At 37.1% G+C, this 18,340-nt stretch overlaps 1 protein-coding gene across 12 annotated transcripts in view; it reads left to right on the forward strand.

The window, feature by feature from the left end:
• Positions 1-18,340, forward strand: part of TTC17 (tetratricopeptide repeat domain 17) — a 136,012-nt gene that overhangs the window by 25,064 nt on the left and 92,608 nt on the right. For 10 of the 12 annotated variants that reach the window (NR_164823.1, NR_164824.1, NM_001376525.1 and 7 more), the window contains 8 exons: positions 5,669-5,838; positions 7,482-7,593; positions 7,838-7,969; positions 12,726-12,835; positions 13,364-13,508; positions 13,991-14,130; positions 15,905-16,065; positions 17,463-17,575. Coding sequence is in view for 10 of the 12 variants with exons in the window: in NM_001376525.1 (NP_001363454.1) it covers positions 5,669-5,838; positions 7,482-7,593; positions 7,838-7,969; positions 12,726-12,835; positions 13,364-13,508; positions 13,991-14,130; positions 15,905-16,065; positions 17,463-17,575 (1,083 nt within the window). In the remaining 2 variants the exon portion in view is untranslated. The remainder of the gene's footprint in view (positions 1-5,668; positions 5,839-7,481; positions 7,594-7,837; positions 7,970-12,725; positions 12,836-13,363; positions 13,509-13,990; positions 14,131-15,904; positions 16,066-17,462; positions 17,576-18,340) is intronic. The other 2 variants (NM_001376527.1, NM_001376528.1) reach the window with 2 other exon arrangements.

The following is an 18,340-nucleotide window of genomic DNA, read 5'->3' on the forward strand; positions in this document are numbered from 1 at the left end:
ATAATTTTGAAATTAGCTGGGCATGGTGGCAGGCACCTGTAGTTCTAGCTACTGGGGAGGCTGAGGCAGGAGAATTGCATGAGCCCAGATGTTTGAGGTTACAGTGAGCTATGATAGTACCACCGCACTCCAGCATGGGTGACAGAGTGAGACCCTGTCTCAAAAAAAAAAAAAGAAATCTATAGTTACCAAACTTACAAATAAAAAAAGAGGATGTAGGAGGAGAGGAGAGAACATAGAAAAAGTATCTACTATGCAAATGCTAAGCAAAAGAAAGGTGATATGGATGTATTTATACAAGTTCACAGTTCCTTATTTGAAATCATTGGGGCTATATATGTATTTAGGAATATGGTTTCTTGTTTTGGTTTTTTAATTTTAGAAATGTTAGGCCAGGCACAGTGGCTCACGCCTGTAATCCCAGCACTCTGGGGGGTCGAGGCGGGCAGATTGCTTGAGCCCGGGAGTTCGAGACCAACCTGGGCAGCATGGAGAAATGCTGTTTCTACCAAAAATAGAAAACTTAGCCAGCATGGTGGTGTGTGCCTATAGTCCCAGCTACTTGGGAGGCTGAGGTGGCAGGATCACCTGAGCCAGGGATGCTGAGGTTGAGTGAGCTGAGATTGCACCACACCACTGCACTCTAGCAGCCTGGGTCACATACCAAAACCAGGTCTCAAAAAACAAAACAAAAAAAAGAAATGTGATGGGCACAAATATTTTATATTTCATTCTACTTCTCAGGGCTATTTCAAACTCTACAATCAGATACATTAATATTTCTTTAGTGACATGTATGACCATGCATGGTAAGAGTATAAAGACTGTAAAATGGCTTTCCATCAGGTTTTGTTGCCATGTGAATTTTAATGCAAAAAATTTTTTTAAAGCTTTAGGTTTTCAGAATTTTAGATTTACAATGGTAAAGAACAGTGGGCCTGTCTCAGGCAAAATAAGAGCCTAAAATAATTAATAGACAGATACTACTTGCTAACAACCTACCAAAAAATATAATATCGTATACTTGTATGTACCTAACAACTCGGCCTCATGGATATAAGTATGTTTATATCAAGACAGCAAAAACTAACAGAATTACATGAAAAGTCAACCAGAGGAAGCGATTTTGCAGATCTTTATCAGAAACTGATAAGTCCAACAAAAATACTATAAAATACAGGAGGTAACACCTTTGGATCTATATATATCTATATGTAGATGTATACAGCAAGACATAGAAAAAGAGATAGAGGGAGCGAGTATGCCCTAAATTGAACGAAGATAACATACAGTGTTTTCAAGTAGAATATTTACCAGAATTGACCACTGCCAGGATATAAAGGAAATAATTTACAAAGTTTTGTTATCATGCATAACATGTTCTCTGATCACAGTGCAATTAAGTTAAAAGAAATAAAATACACATACCCAGGAAAAAAGAGAGAAAACACAAATTTTTGAAAATCTTGAAGGCATTCTTAAATCACCCATGGTTTAAAGAGAAAACTCACAAAACTTTAGACTATGGTGGGAACACTTCATTTCAAAAATCCTGAAATGAAGCTTAGATATATTTAGATATGAATTTATAGAAAAATGCATTTATTAAAATAAATGGCACAGTAACTCACATTTGTAATCCCAGATACTTGGGAGGCTGAAGCGGGAAGATTGCTCGAGCCTAGGAGTTTGAGTCCAGACAGGACAGCATAGCAAGAGCTTGTCTTTAAAAAGAAAAAAAAAAAAAAAGACTGAAAAGAAATGAGTTAAATATTCAACACGAGTTAGAAAACATAATAAACCAAATAACTAAAATAACCTAATATAAATATGGAAATAATATTATAAATAACATAAGAAATTAAACAGTCTCAAGAAAACAGTATTGTTTATTTAAAAAATAAACCAAACTCTAGCAGCAAGGCTTACCAGAAAAAGAAATGACAGAAAAAAAGAAATGTTAGTGATGAAAAAGCAGATATCAGATAAAGATTTTTTAAACTAAAGACATAATTATTAATACTACAAAAACTAGACCAATATATTTGAAAACTTAGGTATAATGTAAGGTTTTAGAAAACATGAAATATAAAAATTGATTGAATAAATGGGGAAAGGATAGACTTTTTATAAATGATATTAGGAAATTGATTGTCCATGTGGGAAAAAAATACCTTTCAATGTACAAAAAAAAAAAAATTTCCTATGCAGTTTAAAAATCTAAGTATGAAAAGTGAAACTTTTTACTAAAAAAAAATATTGATAGTCATGCATTGCTTAACGTCAGGAATATGCTCTGAGAAATGTGTTGTTAGGGGATTTCACCATTGTGGGAACATCATAGAGTGTACTTACACAAACCTAGGTGATAAAGCCTGTATAACATGTTACTGTACTGAATACTGTAGGCAGTTGTAACATAATGGTAAGTATTTGTATAACTAAGCATAAAAAAGGTACAGTAAAAATGTGGTATTATAATCTTATGAGACCACTGCTGGGGTCCCTTGTTAACCAAAAACATCTTTATGTGGTACTTGACTGTAGTTGATTGATGTAATTACGATCTCAGGTTTGGGAAGGATTTCTTAAATAAAACAAAGTACAAACAATTAAGAAAACAGTTGATAAAGTTGCCCACCTTATAATTAAAAGTTTTTCTTCAAATGACAAAATTAAAAGATAAGCTACAAACTAAAAGCTGATACTTGCCATGCATATAACTCATAGAGGATGAGTTTATAGAATTACTTTTTCCATAAATTTCTATAGATTAATTTCTTACGTATGTATGTATTTATTTATTTATTTATTCATTTTTGTGAGACAGGGTCTCACTCTTGCCCCAGCTGGAAAGCAGGTAGGATGATCATTGCTCACTATAACCTCATTGCCTGGGCTCAAGCAGTCCTCCTACCTCAGCTTCTCCAGTAGCTAGGACTACAGGCAAGCACCACCATCATACTTGGCTAACTTTGTTTCATGGGGATGGGGTCTCGCAGTATTGCCAGGCTGGTTTCAAACTCCTGAACTCAAGTGATCCTCTAGGCTTGGACTCCCAAAATGCTAAGATTATAGGCACAAGCCACCACGCCAATCCTACTAATCAGTTTTTTAAAGAAGAAAAGCTATTGGGGGGAAAAAATAAGCAAACTTAAACAGTTAATTCACAAAATATCTCATAAACATATGAAAATATGTTCAATCTTATTAAATATTATTCTATTGGTTGATATAGTCCATATTTTATAGTGTATTAGTCAGCTTTTGCATTGGCAACAAATAGCCCGCAGAACCTCAGTGCTGTTCTCATGAAGGAAAGTGAAGGCTCAAGGAAGAACAACCAAATAATATAAGCCTGGTTAAAGTTTCTACTGAGAAGTGACATACACCATCTTTACTCACATTCCATTGGCCAAAGCAAGTCATGTGGCCATGCCTTGAAGTCAGTAGGGCAGGATAGCATATCTCCATGAAAAGTGTGGAGGGAATAATTGGAAACAGATCATAGGCTCTGTCCCCATTAATAATAACCCCAAAAATCTTAATGGCATAAACAATAAGGTCATGCTAAGTGATCATTTGGGGCTCTGTTGGGGATCTGTACCATGTCACTGTGATCCATAAGACAGGACCTAGGCCGACAGAGCAGCCTCTGTCTGTAATTTTGGCATTCTCAGTAGCTGAGGGAAAAAGAAAGAACATGGTGAAGCACACACTAACTCTATAAAACCTTTCCTATAAAAGGGTCACATGGGACTTATGTTACATTGGCCAAAGCAAGTCATGTTGCCCAAGCCTGAGTCCAGCAAAAACAGTGATGTATCATGTAAGGAGGGGCAGGATATTAGTGAATAGTAATACAGTCCATCACAATAACATAGTCTACTACCATAATAAATATAACAAAATAATGTTTCATACCTATTTGATTGGCATAAGTTAAAAAGTATGACAAAACCAAACATTGCTAAGATTCTGGGGATATAGGTGTTATGATCTACTGGGACAATTCTAATTGTTATAATCACTGTGAAAAGCAGATTGACACGTCTATATAAAACTGAAAATGTGCATCCCATATGACCCCCATATTTCTGCCCTTGCTAGAATTTTTCACATGTATACAAGGAGACATTTATAAGAATATAGTAGCATTTTTAATAGCAAAGAAAGTTTTTCTTAAAGAAGCAACATAAATGTTTACAGGAAAATGGATAAATACATATTTATACATCCATTTAAATGAAAAATTTAGAGCTATCCTGACTAATGTAGATAAATCTCAAAAACATACATACTTTTTTTAAGTTGTAGATACATTAAGTATGATACCATTTATATAAAATTTTAAAACTTACAAAGCAATGCTGTATTTTGATTTTTGATACACATATAATGAAAGTAATATTTTAGGAGAGTAAGAGTAATGTAGTATTTTATACAAATATTTATAAAAATATACATGGAAATGACACATAAATTCAGATTAATTATAAGAAGTTAGAGATTTAGAAGACATTAAAGAATACCTTGAACTCCCTTTTTTTTTTTCTTTTAAAAAAAAAATCTGAGCTGGGCATGGTGTCTTATGCCGGTAGTCCCAACACTTTGGGAGGCCAGGGTGGAAAGATTGCTTGAGCCCAGGAGTTTGAGACCAGCCTGGGCAACATAGTGAGACTCCATTTCTATAAAACATAGAAAAGTTGGCCAGGCATGGTGGCTGAAGCCTGTAATCCCAGTACTCTGTGAGGCCAAGGCAGGTGGATTGCTTGCACTCAGGAGTTTGAGACCAGCCTGGGCAACATGGTAAAACCCCATCTGTATGGAAAAAAAAAAAAAATTAGCCAGACATGGTGGTGTGCACCTGTAGTCCCAGCTATTTAGGGGGCTGAGGCAGGAGGATCCCCTGAGCCCTGGAGTTTGAGGTTGCAGTGAGCTGTGATCGCACTACTGCACTCAGCCTGAGTGACAAAGTGAGACCCTGTCTCAAAAAAAAAAAAAAAATTAACTGGGCATGTGGGACATGCCTGTAGTCCAGATACTTGGGAGGCTGAGGTGAGAGGATCGCTTGAGCCCAGGAGGTCGAGGCTGCAGTGAGCTGTGATCACACCACTGCAGCACTCCAACCTGGGTGACAGCAAGACACTGTCTCAAAAAAAAAAAAAGGGTGGAGGGGGGAGATAAAATATTGGCATATGATAGATACGGGTGGTGAAAATGTGGATATTTGTGTTATTGTCTGTACATTTGAAAAAATAGATATTTTATGGTTGACAGGAATTAACTGGAATACCCAGGTACCAATAGCAACATGTACTATGTCTTGAAGGATTGAAACAACCTGACAGGTTTGTTTTCACTGCAGAGCCATTTTGTGCCAGGAAAGTTAAGTTAGTAGATGTGCTTCGTGGGTAGTCAGAAATCATCTTATGAAGGCCCATGTGTGTCAGTATGATAAATGTTGTGTTCTGTTACTTTCTGTATGTGGACATCTTTTTTGAGAAGCTTGTGTATGTTGACTAAGTTAACTAAGGGCATTTTCAGAATTCTTGTCTTCCTACATAGAGGATTCTGACTTCTTCAGCTCAGATTCCCCTTTCTCTTCAATGGTAGTTAGACTAAAATATTAGAAGAATCCATTCTGTTCTTACTTTCTTCTCAACAGAAACAATTAGTTGCTCAAAAAATTCACATAGAAGAGAATGAGGACAGAGACACAGGACTGGAACAGAGACATAATAAAGAAGACCCAGACTGCATCAAAGCCAAGGTGCCCTTAGGGGACCTGGATCTATATGATGGCACATACATAACTTTGGAGAGCAAAGACATCAGGTAAAGAAGTTCTCTTTCCAAAAATAAAATTGCTGTTTCAAACATTTCCTTTCTCAAATTAGTAAGAAATTATTTCTGTAATAAGGGTAAGCTTCAATCACAGATGAGTTTTCGAATTTGAAAATTCAAAATACATACTACATGTAGAATTCTTATAAATTAATTTAAAATATTTAACACCACAGTAGAAAATGGAACAACTTGGCTGGGCGTGGTGCCTCACACCTATAATCCCAGTACTTTGTGAGGCCAAGGCGGGAAGATTGCCAACAGCCAGGAGTTTGAGACAAGGCTGGGCAATATAGCGAGACCCCATCTCTACAAAAAAAAATGTTAAAAATTAGCCAGGCATGGTGGTGTGCACTTGTAGTTGTAGCTACTCAGGAGGCTAAACTGAGAGGATCACTTGAGCCCAAGAATTCAAGGTTACAGTGAGCTATGATGGTGCCACTCTACCCTAGCCCAGACTCCAGGCTGGGTGACAGAGTGAGACCCTGTCTCTTAAAAAAAAGGCCGGGTGCGGTGGCTCACACCTGTAATCCCAGCACTTTGGGAGGCCTAGGCGGGCAGATCACGAGGTCAGAAGATCAAAACCATCCTGGCTAACACGGTGAAACCCCGTCTCTACTAAAAATGCAAAACAAATTAGCCAGGCATGGTGGTGGGCACCTGTAGTCCCAGCTACTCGGGAAGCTGAGGCAGGAGAATGGCGTGAACCCAGGAGGCAGAGCTTGCAGTGAGCCAAGATGGCACCACTGCACTCCAGCCTGGGCGACAGAGCAAGACTCCGTCTCAAAAAAAATAAAAAATAAAAAATAAATAAAAATAAAAAAATAAAAATGAAAAATAAAAAAGAGAAAAAAATAAAATTGAACAATTTGTAGTTAAAAAAATTAACAAAAACTACCTATGGCCAATAAACATGGAAAAAAATTTCTCAGAAATTATCAAAAAAGTACAAATGAAAACATTTAGATAGTTTTCATCTACCAAAATGGAAAGCATATCAAAAAAATAGTAACTGGTAAAAATGTAGAGAGACTGTCAGTGGAAGTATAAATTGGTTTAACGTTTCTAGACAATTGAGCAGTTGTATTAGTTATTAAAAAGTCCATGATCTTATTCTGTGACCTATCTACTATTTTCCCTGTGATTCTTGACTTTAATTCAAACTCCCAAAATGTTTGACTCTTCATGGCAGCTATGTGAAAAGGTATGAATATTGACTAACAATTGTGTAAAGTTGAGATGCTATGAGAATATGGGGAAAATTTGACATTTCTTAAAGTATTATTGACTGAGCACAGTGGTTTACGCCTGTAATCCCAGCACTTTGGGAGGCCAAGATGGGAGGATCACTTGAGGCCAGGAGTTCAGAACTACCCTGGGCAACATAGTGAGACCTGTCTCAACAAAAAGTAAAAAAAATTAACTGATTGTGGTGGTGCATGCCTGTTGTCCCAGCTACTTGGAAGGCTGAGGTGAGAGGATCGCTTGAGACTAGGAGATCAAGGCTGCAGTGAGCTGTGATCATGCCACTGCACTCCAGCCTGGGCAACAGAATGAGACCCTTTCTCTAAATAAATAAATAAAATATTGTTTATCTCACCTTTTATTCATTCATTGCTTCTTTTTGATTTTAGTCCTGAAGATTATATAGACACAGAATCTCCTGTCCCTCCAGACCCAGAGCAACCTGATTGTACTAAAATTCTAGAACTTCCATATAGTATACATGCTTTTCAGCACTTGAGAGTAAGTAGAGAACTTTAGGATTTTTTTTTTTTTGCGTTGCGTTCTTCTTTCAGTTGGTCTCTCACTTATAAAGACCATTTCTCTTTCTTCTCTCCTTCCTGACAGCTTTGTAATTTTATAGACATCTCTTATTTCTTAAAATTCCAAAATATTAGTATTTCAAAATAAACACTACAAGATACTGAATTATTTGTCATCTTTTATATCCTTTGATATGTCTTTTGAATCTTTTTCTTCTCTTCAGGGTGTACAGGAGAGAGTTAATCTTTCTGCACCTCTGCTACCTAAAGAAGACCCAATCTTCACATATTTATCTAAACGGTTAGGAAGGAGTATAGATGACATAGGTCACCTCATTCATGAAGGCCTACAGAAGGTAAGTCATCAGTCACTTAAAGAGCCAGCGGGCTGAGCCAGCGGGCTCTGTGTAAACAGAAGATATTTTTATCTTGGAAAATACCTGACTAATTTGTTTTTATCTAGAAGACGATTTAAAATTACACTTACATTGATGCAAATTGCATAGTTCAGTGCTGGGGAGAAATATGGATAGACTAGTCTCCTTTCCCAGGAAGAGATGCTGGAAAGTTTTATCTAAACTGATGAAAAACGAAATATAAACTGACATAAGCAACAGCGTTTATAGGCTGGATTATATACATTGTGTAAGTAAGAAAGTTAATGTTTTAGTGTCGTTAATATATCTATACACAATACATGTATTATTACTGTTTTCTGAGACAGAAAAAGAATCACCACCAGCAACAAAATCTTCTGTAACTTTCTTTTAAGAGACTATCTACTTTAAAAAAAATGAAATAGGGAATTATGTAACAGGACCCAGGAATGTAAATGTATCATTCAGGATTAACGTGGGCATTTAGAAAATGTTTTTGCTATTCTTTGTGCCTAAAGAGTATCATAAAATGCAGTTTAGTTTCTAAGCAGTATTATAGTGGTATAAAATAAGATGTATAATTGCCACCTTTGTATACAGTTTTTTCAAATACATAGCTTTGTATATTGAGAGGAATTTTCAGATAAAAGTCCGATAATAACTTGACTTTCAGATGCTTTATATGGTTATTTCTGTAGCTGTGTTACCATCTTCATCTTATTTTTCTGAAGGTAATGTAAAACTTTTACATTCCCAGAACTTGATGAGTAATAAGAGAAAACTGGCCCAGGATTTTACAGTGTCCTTCAGAGAATGGTTAGTTGAGAGTAGACCATAGTGGTAAGTGTTCTATAGAAAATTAAAACAGAAAGTAACTGGGTGGCTACTTTAGATCTAGCAGTTGGGGTTATCCTATCCGGAAACGTGAAATTTAAGCTGACACCTGAATCATAAGAAGAAACCAAAATTCAAAGACCACGGAAGAGCATTCTAAGCCACAGCAAAGGCTCTGAATCCTGATTGAGGTTAGGTGGTTGTATTTGTCTGCTCAGGCTTCCATAACAAAGTACCACTTTGGACCGTTTCTGCTCAAAACACTTCTGACACCAAATGTATGGAGTTTTTTCTCACACGACTAATTCGGTAGTTCTCCCGACATCAACTAGGTGTTCTACAACTCAATACAATTCTGACACTAACTACCTGGAGTTAGCACAGACCCCACAGGTCAAGGACTCAGTCCCACAAGGCTACCTGCACTTCAGATGCCAGTCGCAAGTCAAGGCCACCAGACAAATTAGCTATAAAGTCAGGGTGTTCCCACAGCTGCCTCCCCAAGTTAGAACAGCTCACGGAAGTCAGGAAAGCACTTTACCTACTATTATTGGTTTATTGTAAAGGATGCAATTCAGGAACAGCCAAAGGCATAAGCCAGGGAATAGGGGGAAGGGGTGCACAGAGCTTCCATGTCCTCTCCAGAACACCACCCTCCTAGAATCTCAATGTGTTCACCAACCCAGAAGCTCTCAAAACTCTGTTGTTTAAGGGTTTCTACGGAGGTTTCACTATGTAAGCATTATTGACTAAAGTATTGGCCATGAGTGATGAACTCAATCTCTACTCTCTCTCCCCTCCCCGAAGGACAGGGGGAGGATGGGATTCTGAAAGATCTAACCCTCTGATCATGCCTTGGCTTTTCTGGGACCAGCATCTGTCCTGAAGCTATCTGGGGGCCACCTGCCTCCAGTCATCCCATTAGCATATGAAAGACACACATTACTCCTGTGATTCTTCAAGTTTTAGGTTTGTGTGTCAGGAACTAGGGACAAAGACCAAATATATTTGTTCTTACCACATACTAGGTGGCTTAAATTTATTTCTCATAGTCTGGAGGCTGGGAAGTCTAAGATCAAGGTCCCAGTGATTTGGTTCCTGGTGAGGGCTCTCTTCCTGCCTTGCATATGGCTGCCTTCTCTCCGTGTCCTCACATGGCCTCATCTGTGTGCATGCTTGAAGACAGAGAGAGATCTGTCTCTTCCATTTCTTATAAGGACACTTATAGGAAGAAATCAAATTTGGGCCCCAATCCTTATGACTTCATTTAGCCTTTATCCACTCCTCACAGGCCTGATAACACTTGAACATATGAACTTTGAGGAGACATAGACTTTCAGTCCGTAACAGGTGGCATGCAGCCAAATTCAGGCCAATATTGCTGGAGCCTGGTGAGCAAGAGGAAGGATGATAAGGAATGAAGCCAGAGAAGTAGGCCAGTGCCAGATTATGTAAGGGTCTGAAATCCAGGGTAAGGATTTTGGATTTTACTCCAAGTGTGCTGAGAAGTTGGAGCAGAGAAGCAATGTATTGCAATTAATAGTTGAAAAGATCACTTTGATTACTATATGAAGAAGTTATTGAAGGGGCCACAACTGGAAATAGACCTGTTAGAAAACTGTTGCAGTAGTTCAAGAGAGAGATGAAGGTGGTTTGGACTAGCAATTGTTAGTAGTGGAAATGAGAGGACTTGAACTATTCAGGAGATATTTAGGAGTTTAGAAGCAGATGAGTTAGATATGGGGATTGAAGGCAAAAGAGGAATCAAGGAAAACTTAAATTTTTGACTTGAACAACTAGAAGGAAGAGAGGGTTGGGGTGGGAGAAGAGAAAATAAGAGTTCTATTTGGGCCATGTTAAATTCGAAATACCTATATGAGTTTGGAATTTCAGGGAAAGTTAGAGTTGGGCACATAGAGATTAATTATTAAATAATGAATATCTGAAGCCATGGAACTGGATGAAGTCATCTGGGGAAGAGTGAAGTTTGAGAAGAAGCCAGTCTGACTCCTGGGTGCCTCCCACATGTAGTTATCAAGCAGAGGGGGAAAGCCAGCAAAAAAGACCAGAAAGGGTATCCTGCAGAATGTGGTGTCCTAAGAGTCAATGGCAGAAAGTGGTCAAAGAAAGGAGGGAGTAGTTCACAGTAACATTAGAACATTTATAGATTTGGGGGAGATTTTATGAGAACTACACAAAGATATTTCTTTAAATATATATTTTTATCTTACCTCCAGTATGCTATGATATATATTTAACTTATCATGATCTCTTCAGTAGTTCATGTAGAACTTTTTTTTTTTTTTTTTTTGAGATGGAGTCTCACTCTGTCGCCCAGGCTGGAGTGCAGTGGCGCAATCTCAGCTCACTGCAAGCTCCGTCTCCTGGGTTCACGCTATTCTCCTGCCTCAGCCTCCCGAGTAGCTGGGACTACAGGCGCCCGCCACCACGCCCGGCAAATTTTTTGTCTTTTTAGTGGTGATGGGGTTTCACCATGTTAGCCAGGATGGTCTCGATCTCCTGACCTCGTGATCCACCCGCCTAGGCCTCCCAAAGTGCTGGGATTACAGGCATGAGCCACCGCGCCCGGCCTCATGTAGAACTTTTAATTGAACTTTTTGTCCCCGTTTACATTATAATGTGAAAATAAAAGATGAAAATCAAAATGAAAGCATTTGTTGATTTGAAAAACAACTTTCTCAAAAGGCCATCAAAAAGAAAACTGAAACCTCGGCCACAAGTCAGTTGTGAAGAATGTACTGTCCTTTAACCAGCTTCAAGTAGAAGTTCATAGTTGATCTGCTCATAGTGTTAAAATCTGTAATTGCATCACTCAAAAATCACATACTTTTCTTGAAGATAGAATACTTAAGGATGAATAATGCAGGATTGTACTTATTGTAGTCTTAAAAAGCTACGTTTAACTAAATTCAAACTATTTTTAACTACATTAAAATAACTCTTTTAAAAATAATTGGTCCTTGTGAAAGAGTCACTGAAAATCTATAAAAGAAAGTAAAATTAATAATTTCAAAACTGGTTTGTAATATATTCTTTTGGAGTTTGATTTTTACACAGCTTTATAGTTAAAACGTAATTATTCCCCATAGGATACATTTTTAATAGTAGAATTGTGGGAGTCAAAGGGTAAATGTAATATACATTAATATGTATGATAATGTAATATACATTACATTTTTAAAGCTTTTTACATACATGTCAAATTGTCCCCCAGAAATGCTATAGTAACTTAGCATTTCTATAGTTTAATATCTAAAGTTAATAATATTCAGTAAGTATTGGCTTTCTTTTTAGTCTTTGCCACTTTGTAAAAGGAAAACTTGTATCTTTTAAGTTTCTATTTCTTTGTGAAGTTACACATTTTACATACTTCTTAGCTGTTTGTTCATGTTTTTGGCCCTTTTTCCTTTTTTTTTTTCTGTCTTTATGTTTAGAGTAAGCCTGTTGGTTTGTGCCTTCACTCAGATATTACATAAATAGAAAAAATTCTAAAATGTTAATTTCAGGAATTTCATGTTAGAGCTATTTCTAAGTAGATGAGGTCTTCTGACTTAACTTCTGAAGTCCTGAAATAGAGCTCAACAAGTTGTGATCAGTTGGTGGGATTTTTCTTATTTCCCTCTTGGAATAAGCTGGAGTTGGATGGTCTCTATATGAAGATCACACCCTAATGCACGTGCTCAGCTGATGATTAGAATGCTCTTCTGACAGGTATAGTTTCTTTGCACTGTGTCCTGTTCTTTATCATTGCTTATCATTCAGTCTGGCTCTTCTTCATCTTGAATTTCAGAAGAGCCAGAATATTAAAGGTGCTCCTTTTGAGTATTCTAAGTTAAACTGTCTTGAGTCGTGTTTGTAATTTTACTTTTTTAATCTCTAGAACACTTCCTCGTGGGTACTGTATAACATGGCTTCATTTTACTGGAGAATTAAGAATGAGCCATATCAGGTAGTAGAATGTGCCATGCGAGCACTTCACTTCTCTTCCAGGTAAGATTCCTCCTCTTCTGGACCTGATTTTCCACATTCCTCAGGACTGTTAAAGAAACAATACATAAGAAAGCAGTAAGAAGCAACATTGCATTATATACTTTTCTCCATCCCTGTTCAAAGAAATAAGTCCCACCACAAAAAAAAAAAAAAAATCACAGATCTCAAAAAGTTCAAAGTGATAATTGTGTAATATACTTTCCATTTCCATTAAGGAAAAAATATGTAGATGCCCTATGATTCACATGATACTTGAATGGAATTATCATAAACTAAGTTTAACTTTTCTTAAAGCAAATATAAGCCCTAAATAAATTGTAAAATCATACAGTGTCTGCAATACCTTATTTTAGTGACAAAATTTGTAGCTATCAGATTAAGAGCCATCAATAATTTAAAAATGAAACACTATGATTATCTTATTTTCTCCACCTATATCTTAGTTTCCTAAGCACAAGTAACTTTGAATGTCATTTTTCCTTGTCAAGTGGTTCTACATAATCATGGAATATGTGCTGCTTTCCTTAGGCACAATAAAGACATTGCCCTGGTCAACCTGGCAAACGTTCTACACAGAGCACACTTCTCTGCTGATGCTGCTGTCGTGGTCCATGCAGCTCTGGATGACAGTGACTTCTTCACCAGCTATTACACTTTGGGGAATATATATGCAGTAAGTACTACTCTTTGTTTCATGAGTCATGCTAGTTGCCACTTTCTTTTTTTTTTTTTTTTCTCCCCCCTCAGTAGAATGTTACTTTTTTCCATTCCTTTTTTGGTCTGAACGATGGAAATGAAATTAGGAGGAAGAAAAATCCTCAACACAGTAATGTAATTATTCTAGCCTCTTGCCAAAAAAACAATAATAATAATTAAATTGGAATTTTAAACTTCTACAGGGTACACCTTTTAAGGTTAGCAATACCTGCCAACTAAACCATCCTATAGTATGCCTTAATATTGTAGGGATCTGGTCACTGATCAAAATAATGGTCACTGTAGAGTAAGAGGTAGGTGTGATCTCATAAATCATTAGAGGATTTGGACAGATGCAACCAGGCCGTGGCTAACATTTTTTTTTCCGTGTGTGTGTGTGTGTGTGTGTGTGTGTGTGTGTGTGTGTGTGTGTGTGTATGTTTGTTTTTGTCTCTTCAGATGCTTGGGGAATATAACCACTCAGTGCTCTGTTATGACCACGCTTTGCAGGCCAGACCTGGGTTTGAGCAAGCTATAAAGAGGAAGCATGCTGTCCTATGTCAGCAAAAACTGGAGCAGAAATTGGAGGCTCAGCATAGGTAATTGAGAGGAAAAATTTCACTCAAGCATTAGCACTATCGAACCTTAGGTTAAATCTGTGTAGGGGATATCAGTGTTAATTTGGTAACTGGAATTAAGAAAGAAACCTCTTCACTACTGCAAGTCCTATCCTTTTTCTGTAAGTCCTGGTGGTTTAGCACAATTCAGTGGTTGTGTAGAGGAATATCTTTAATTGTATGGATTCCTGCAACTAGAGAATATTTGTAGTAAAAGCTGTCACTTAAATGTTTACAATTTTGACCATTGATTACTTTTATGAAGTCAGTTGGGGTGGGGAGACTGGGATACTTAGTTGACTACTTACTTTGTTGACTGCATTTTTATTTGCATAGAATATACTAAGTTTCAGTAAAATCACTTACATGTGCAATAGTTGATATTTCTCCTCTTGGAGAGAGGTGGTGGCTCCTAGGGTTGAGTTATTGTTAAGGTAGTTAAATGGCATTGAGAGACATTATTTGGCCCACGTTTTAATCATGATTGTGTGTTAGGTTGTACAGTAATGGAATTCTATTGTATTTGATCCTTGAGGTATAATAAGTTAAAAAACATTTCCTTCAATCAGTAGGGCTAGTTAAGAAACTTCATGTTAACTCAGAAGTGAATTTTTCATATCTCAGAATTAGCTGTAATATTTGAGTTTACTTTGGTTAGTAGAGAATTAAACAGAGATTTAGAACTCATTAAACTTTTGTATTTGCTTCTTTTCCAATCTTTTTAAGGCATAATGTGGTAGGAAGTAAAAAGGATGCCAGCTTGCTTATTCATAACTGGTTTCTGTTATACCTGGCTGAGCTTTTTCCAGTATCATGCTCTTAATAATTGAGCTGGCTCTATCTTTACACAATCTGTATAGTTCCTAAAATCTCTGTATGTTACAGTGTGTAATAGGCAGTATGGGTTTTCTGATTAAATGTAATCAGGCAGCTGATTTACTGAAATCAGGTGGTGAAGCATATTCCTTTCGAAGCATAGTTTCTGTAGTTTTTCCTGGCCTGTAACCAATAAGCTAGAGTATGAAAGCAAAGTACTGTGGCCCCTAACTCTTAACTTTGTCTTTAAGCAGAATCTAGGGAAAAAGTGAAAAGGAGGAAAGGATTCTAGAAAGACTTTGAATGTTGATGGAACTAATGCAAATTTTGTAGAGAGAAATAGAGTTGTTAAATACATAAACTTGTATATCGTCATGTATTTTTTTATGGCACCTGAAAAATGCAATATACCATTTGATGTCATGATAGTTGTATTGCCAGGTGTCATGGCTGATGCCTGTAATCCCAGTTATTCTGGAGACTGAGGCAGGGTGGAGGGGAGGAATCACTTGATGCCAGGAGTTCAAATCTAGCCTGGGCAACACAGCAAGACCCAGTTTCTAAAACTAAATTAGCCAGGCATGGTGGCGTGTGCCTGTAGTCCCAGATACTCCCCAGGAGACTGAGGCAAGAGGACCCCTTGAGCCCAGGAGTTGAGCCCAAGAGTACAAGGCTGCAGTGAGCTACAATCAGGCCTCTCCATCCAGCCTTGACAACAGAGCAAGACCCCATTTTTTAAAAAAGTTGTATTTAAAGGAAGAATTTCACATTTATCTTTTTGCCCTAGTATTCTTGAACTGGTGATACAGGGTTGTATGTTAAATAAAAGGAAAACACACAGTAATTGTTGCTGAGAACCAGAAAAATCTGTGCATTTAAGTGGGTTTAAAATTTATGATTTTATAGCTCTAACTTTTTCCTGGTATTAAAAAATGTTAAGATCTCTCCAGCGAACACTGAATGAGTTAAAAGAGTATCAAAAGCAGCATGACCACTACCTGAGACAGCAGGAAATCCTAGAAAAACATAAACTGATTCAGGAGGAGCAAATCTTAAGAAATATCATTCATGAGACTCAGATGGCAAAAGAGGCACAATTAGGTAAGTAGTGACTCCAAGTAATTGAAGACAGGTTAGGAAATTCACTTTTAGCATGCTTTACTATCATAACTTTCTTGTAGCCTTAAAGCAGTGTGAAGTTGTGTTTATGACTTCCCTACATCTCGAAAGCATGATTCATCACTGTGGGTATACCAGGAGGCCTGGGGAGCTGGTTTGGTCTACCTTGCTTTTTTCAAATTTACATTTTGAAATAAAAAACAAGTCTTGTAGATCCTAGAAGTCTTAACAGTTATTTGCATTCTGTGTTCAACATCAGTTTTTTTTCCTACCCTAATATGCATATCAGTCTCCTGGAGATCTTGTTGAAATGCAGATTATGATTCAGTAGGTCTGAATTGAGGCCTGAGAGTCTGCCTTCCTAATAAGCTCCCAGGTGATGCTTGTTGCCGCAGGTCTAAAAACTCTGCACTATGGGTAACAAGGCCTTACACTAAGTGAATACAAGCCAGACCCACCCTACAAACAACCCATCCATACTCCTTTTTTTCTTGCTCTCTTAAAAACAGTGTTTTAGAAGTAAAATTTTAGACTGGAATTCTTAACCTGGGTCAATGGATTAGTTTCAGGGGGTTCTGAAATCCTCTCCAAAATTATATGTAGAATTGTGTATGTGTCCAATTTTATTTTTCTGGGAAGAGGGTATCTAGCTTTTATTAAAATCTCTCAAGCATCTGTGATCCATAAAAATAGAACCACTGGTTTATAGGAACTTGGGTTGGCATGAGAACAATGATTTGGTTATATCTAGAATGTTTTGTTTCTAATGACAAGGGAGCAGATCTGACAACTCAATAACAGAGAATAAATTAATAGAATCTCTTAATTATACCCTTCTCCCTTGATAAGTATGTTGGTCAAGAAAGCCTCTTAACCTTTGGCACTTAGCTGTGACCATTTATAGTTTATTTTACAATTCCCTTAACAAGTTTTCTTTGCTATTATGAGTGTAAAGAGTATGCTCAGTCTTTGGAATTACTTACTGCCCAGTATATTGAAATGTAACCAGAGCTCTTATATATGCATTTGAAACAAAATTATGAAGTATGTAAAGCAAATTCTCTCCAGAAAGATGGCCAAAGTCTCTTAAAACGATGTAATCACTAGATTTTACAATCACAGACTATAATTGCTGAAAGATACCTCAGTAATCATCTAGTGGAGTCCCTTTGTTTTTGTAGGTGGAAAAACTGGGACTTCTTAGAATGATTTATTTGATTAACCATTAATGAATATTTCTCTATATAAGTACGTCCTACGTAAGTAGCCTGCTAGGCTCTGAGGGATACAGGGTTGATACTAAATGACTTAGTCTAAGAAAATCACATTGGCATTGTTGACCTTGCTCATCATTTGTGTAATTTCCTTTCTTATTCCAGGAAATCATCAGATATGCCGACTGGTCAACCAGCAGCATAGTTTACATTGCCAGTGGGACCAGCCTGTACGCTATCATCGTGGAGATATCTTTGAAAATGTGGACTATGTTCAGGTCTTTTTCTTGGTCCAGTCTAATTCTTATAAACGTTTGCTTTATAAAGATTTTTTAAAACTTTTGTTTTTCCTCTTGATTCTTTGTATATTTGATCCCTAAAATTTGTGATTGTCATTTAGATCTTTAAGATTTTGAGGCTGGGCACAGTGGCTCACGCCTGTAATCTCAGCACTTAGGGAGGCAGAGGCAGAAGGATCACGAGCCCAGGAGTTCAAGACCAGCCTGGGTAACATGGTGAAACCCCATCTCTACAAAAACATATATAAATTGGCCAGGTATGGTGGCATGCACCTGTAGTCCCAGCTACTCGGGAGGCTGAGGCGGGAGAATCATCTGAGCTCTGGAGGTCAAAGCTGTAGTGAACCCAGATCATGCCATTGCACTCCAGCCTGGGCAACAGAGCAAGACTGTGTCTCAAAAAATAAATAAATAAATAAATAAATAAATAAATAAATAAATAAATAAATAAAGAGCGAGAGAGAGATTTTGATTATCTGTTATGTTGTTATGTTTACGAAGTCAGATTTTATAGGGAGTACTCAATAACTCCATGGATGCTTTCTATTTCTTAAAGTACCATCTAAATATTTATATGCACATGCATTTGATTCTTTTCTCTTTTACCATGGGAGCTAGAATTGGGCTATTATTATTATTGAACTCAAAGCTTTCATCTCCCCACTTTCCCTTTTAGAGTAAGACCTATTTAAAATTTGAGAGCAACCATGCTATTTGTTTCCTGAAGTAATCAGTCCAATTATA

This window comes from Homo sapiens, chromosome 11, assembly GCF_000001405.40.
Source record: "Homo sapiens chromosome 11, GRCh38.p14 Primary Assembly".
Classification (NCBI taxonomy): domain Eukaryota; kingdom Metazoa; phylum Chordata; class Mammalia; order Primates; family Hominidae; genus Homo; species Homo sapiens.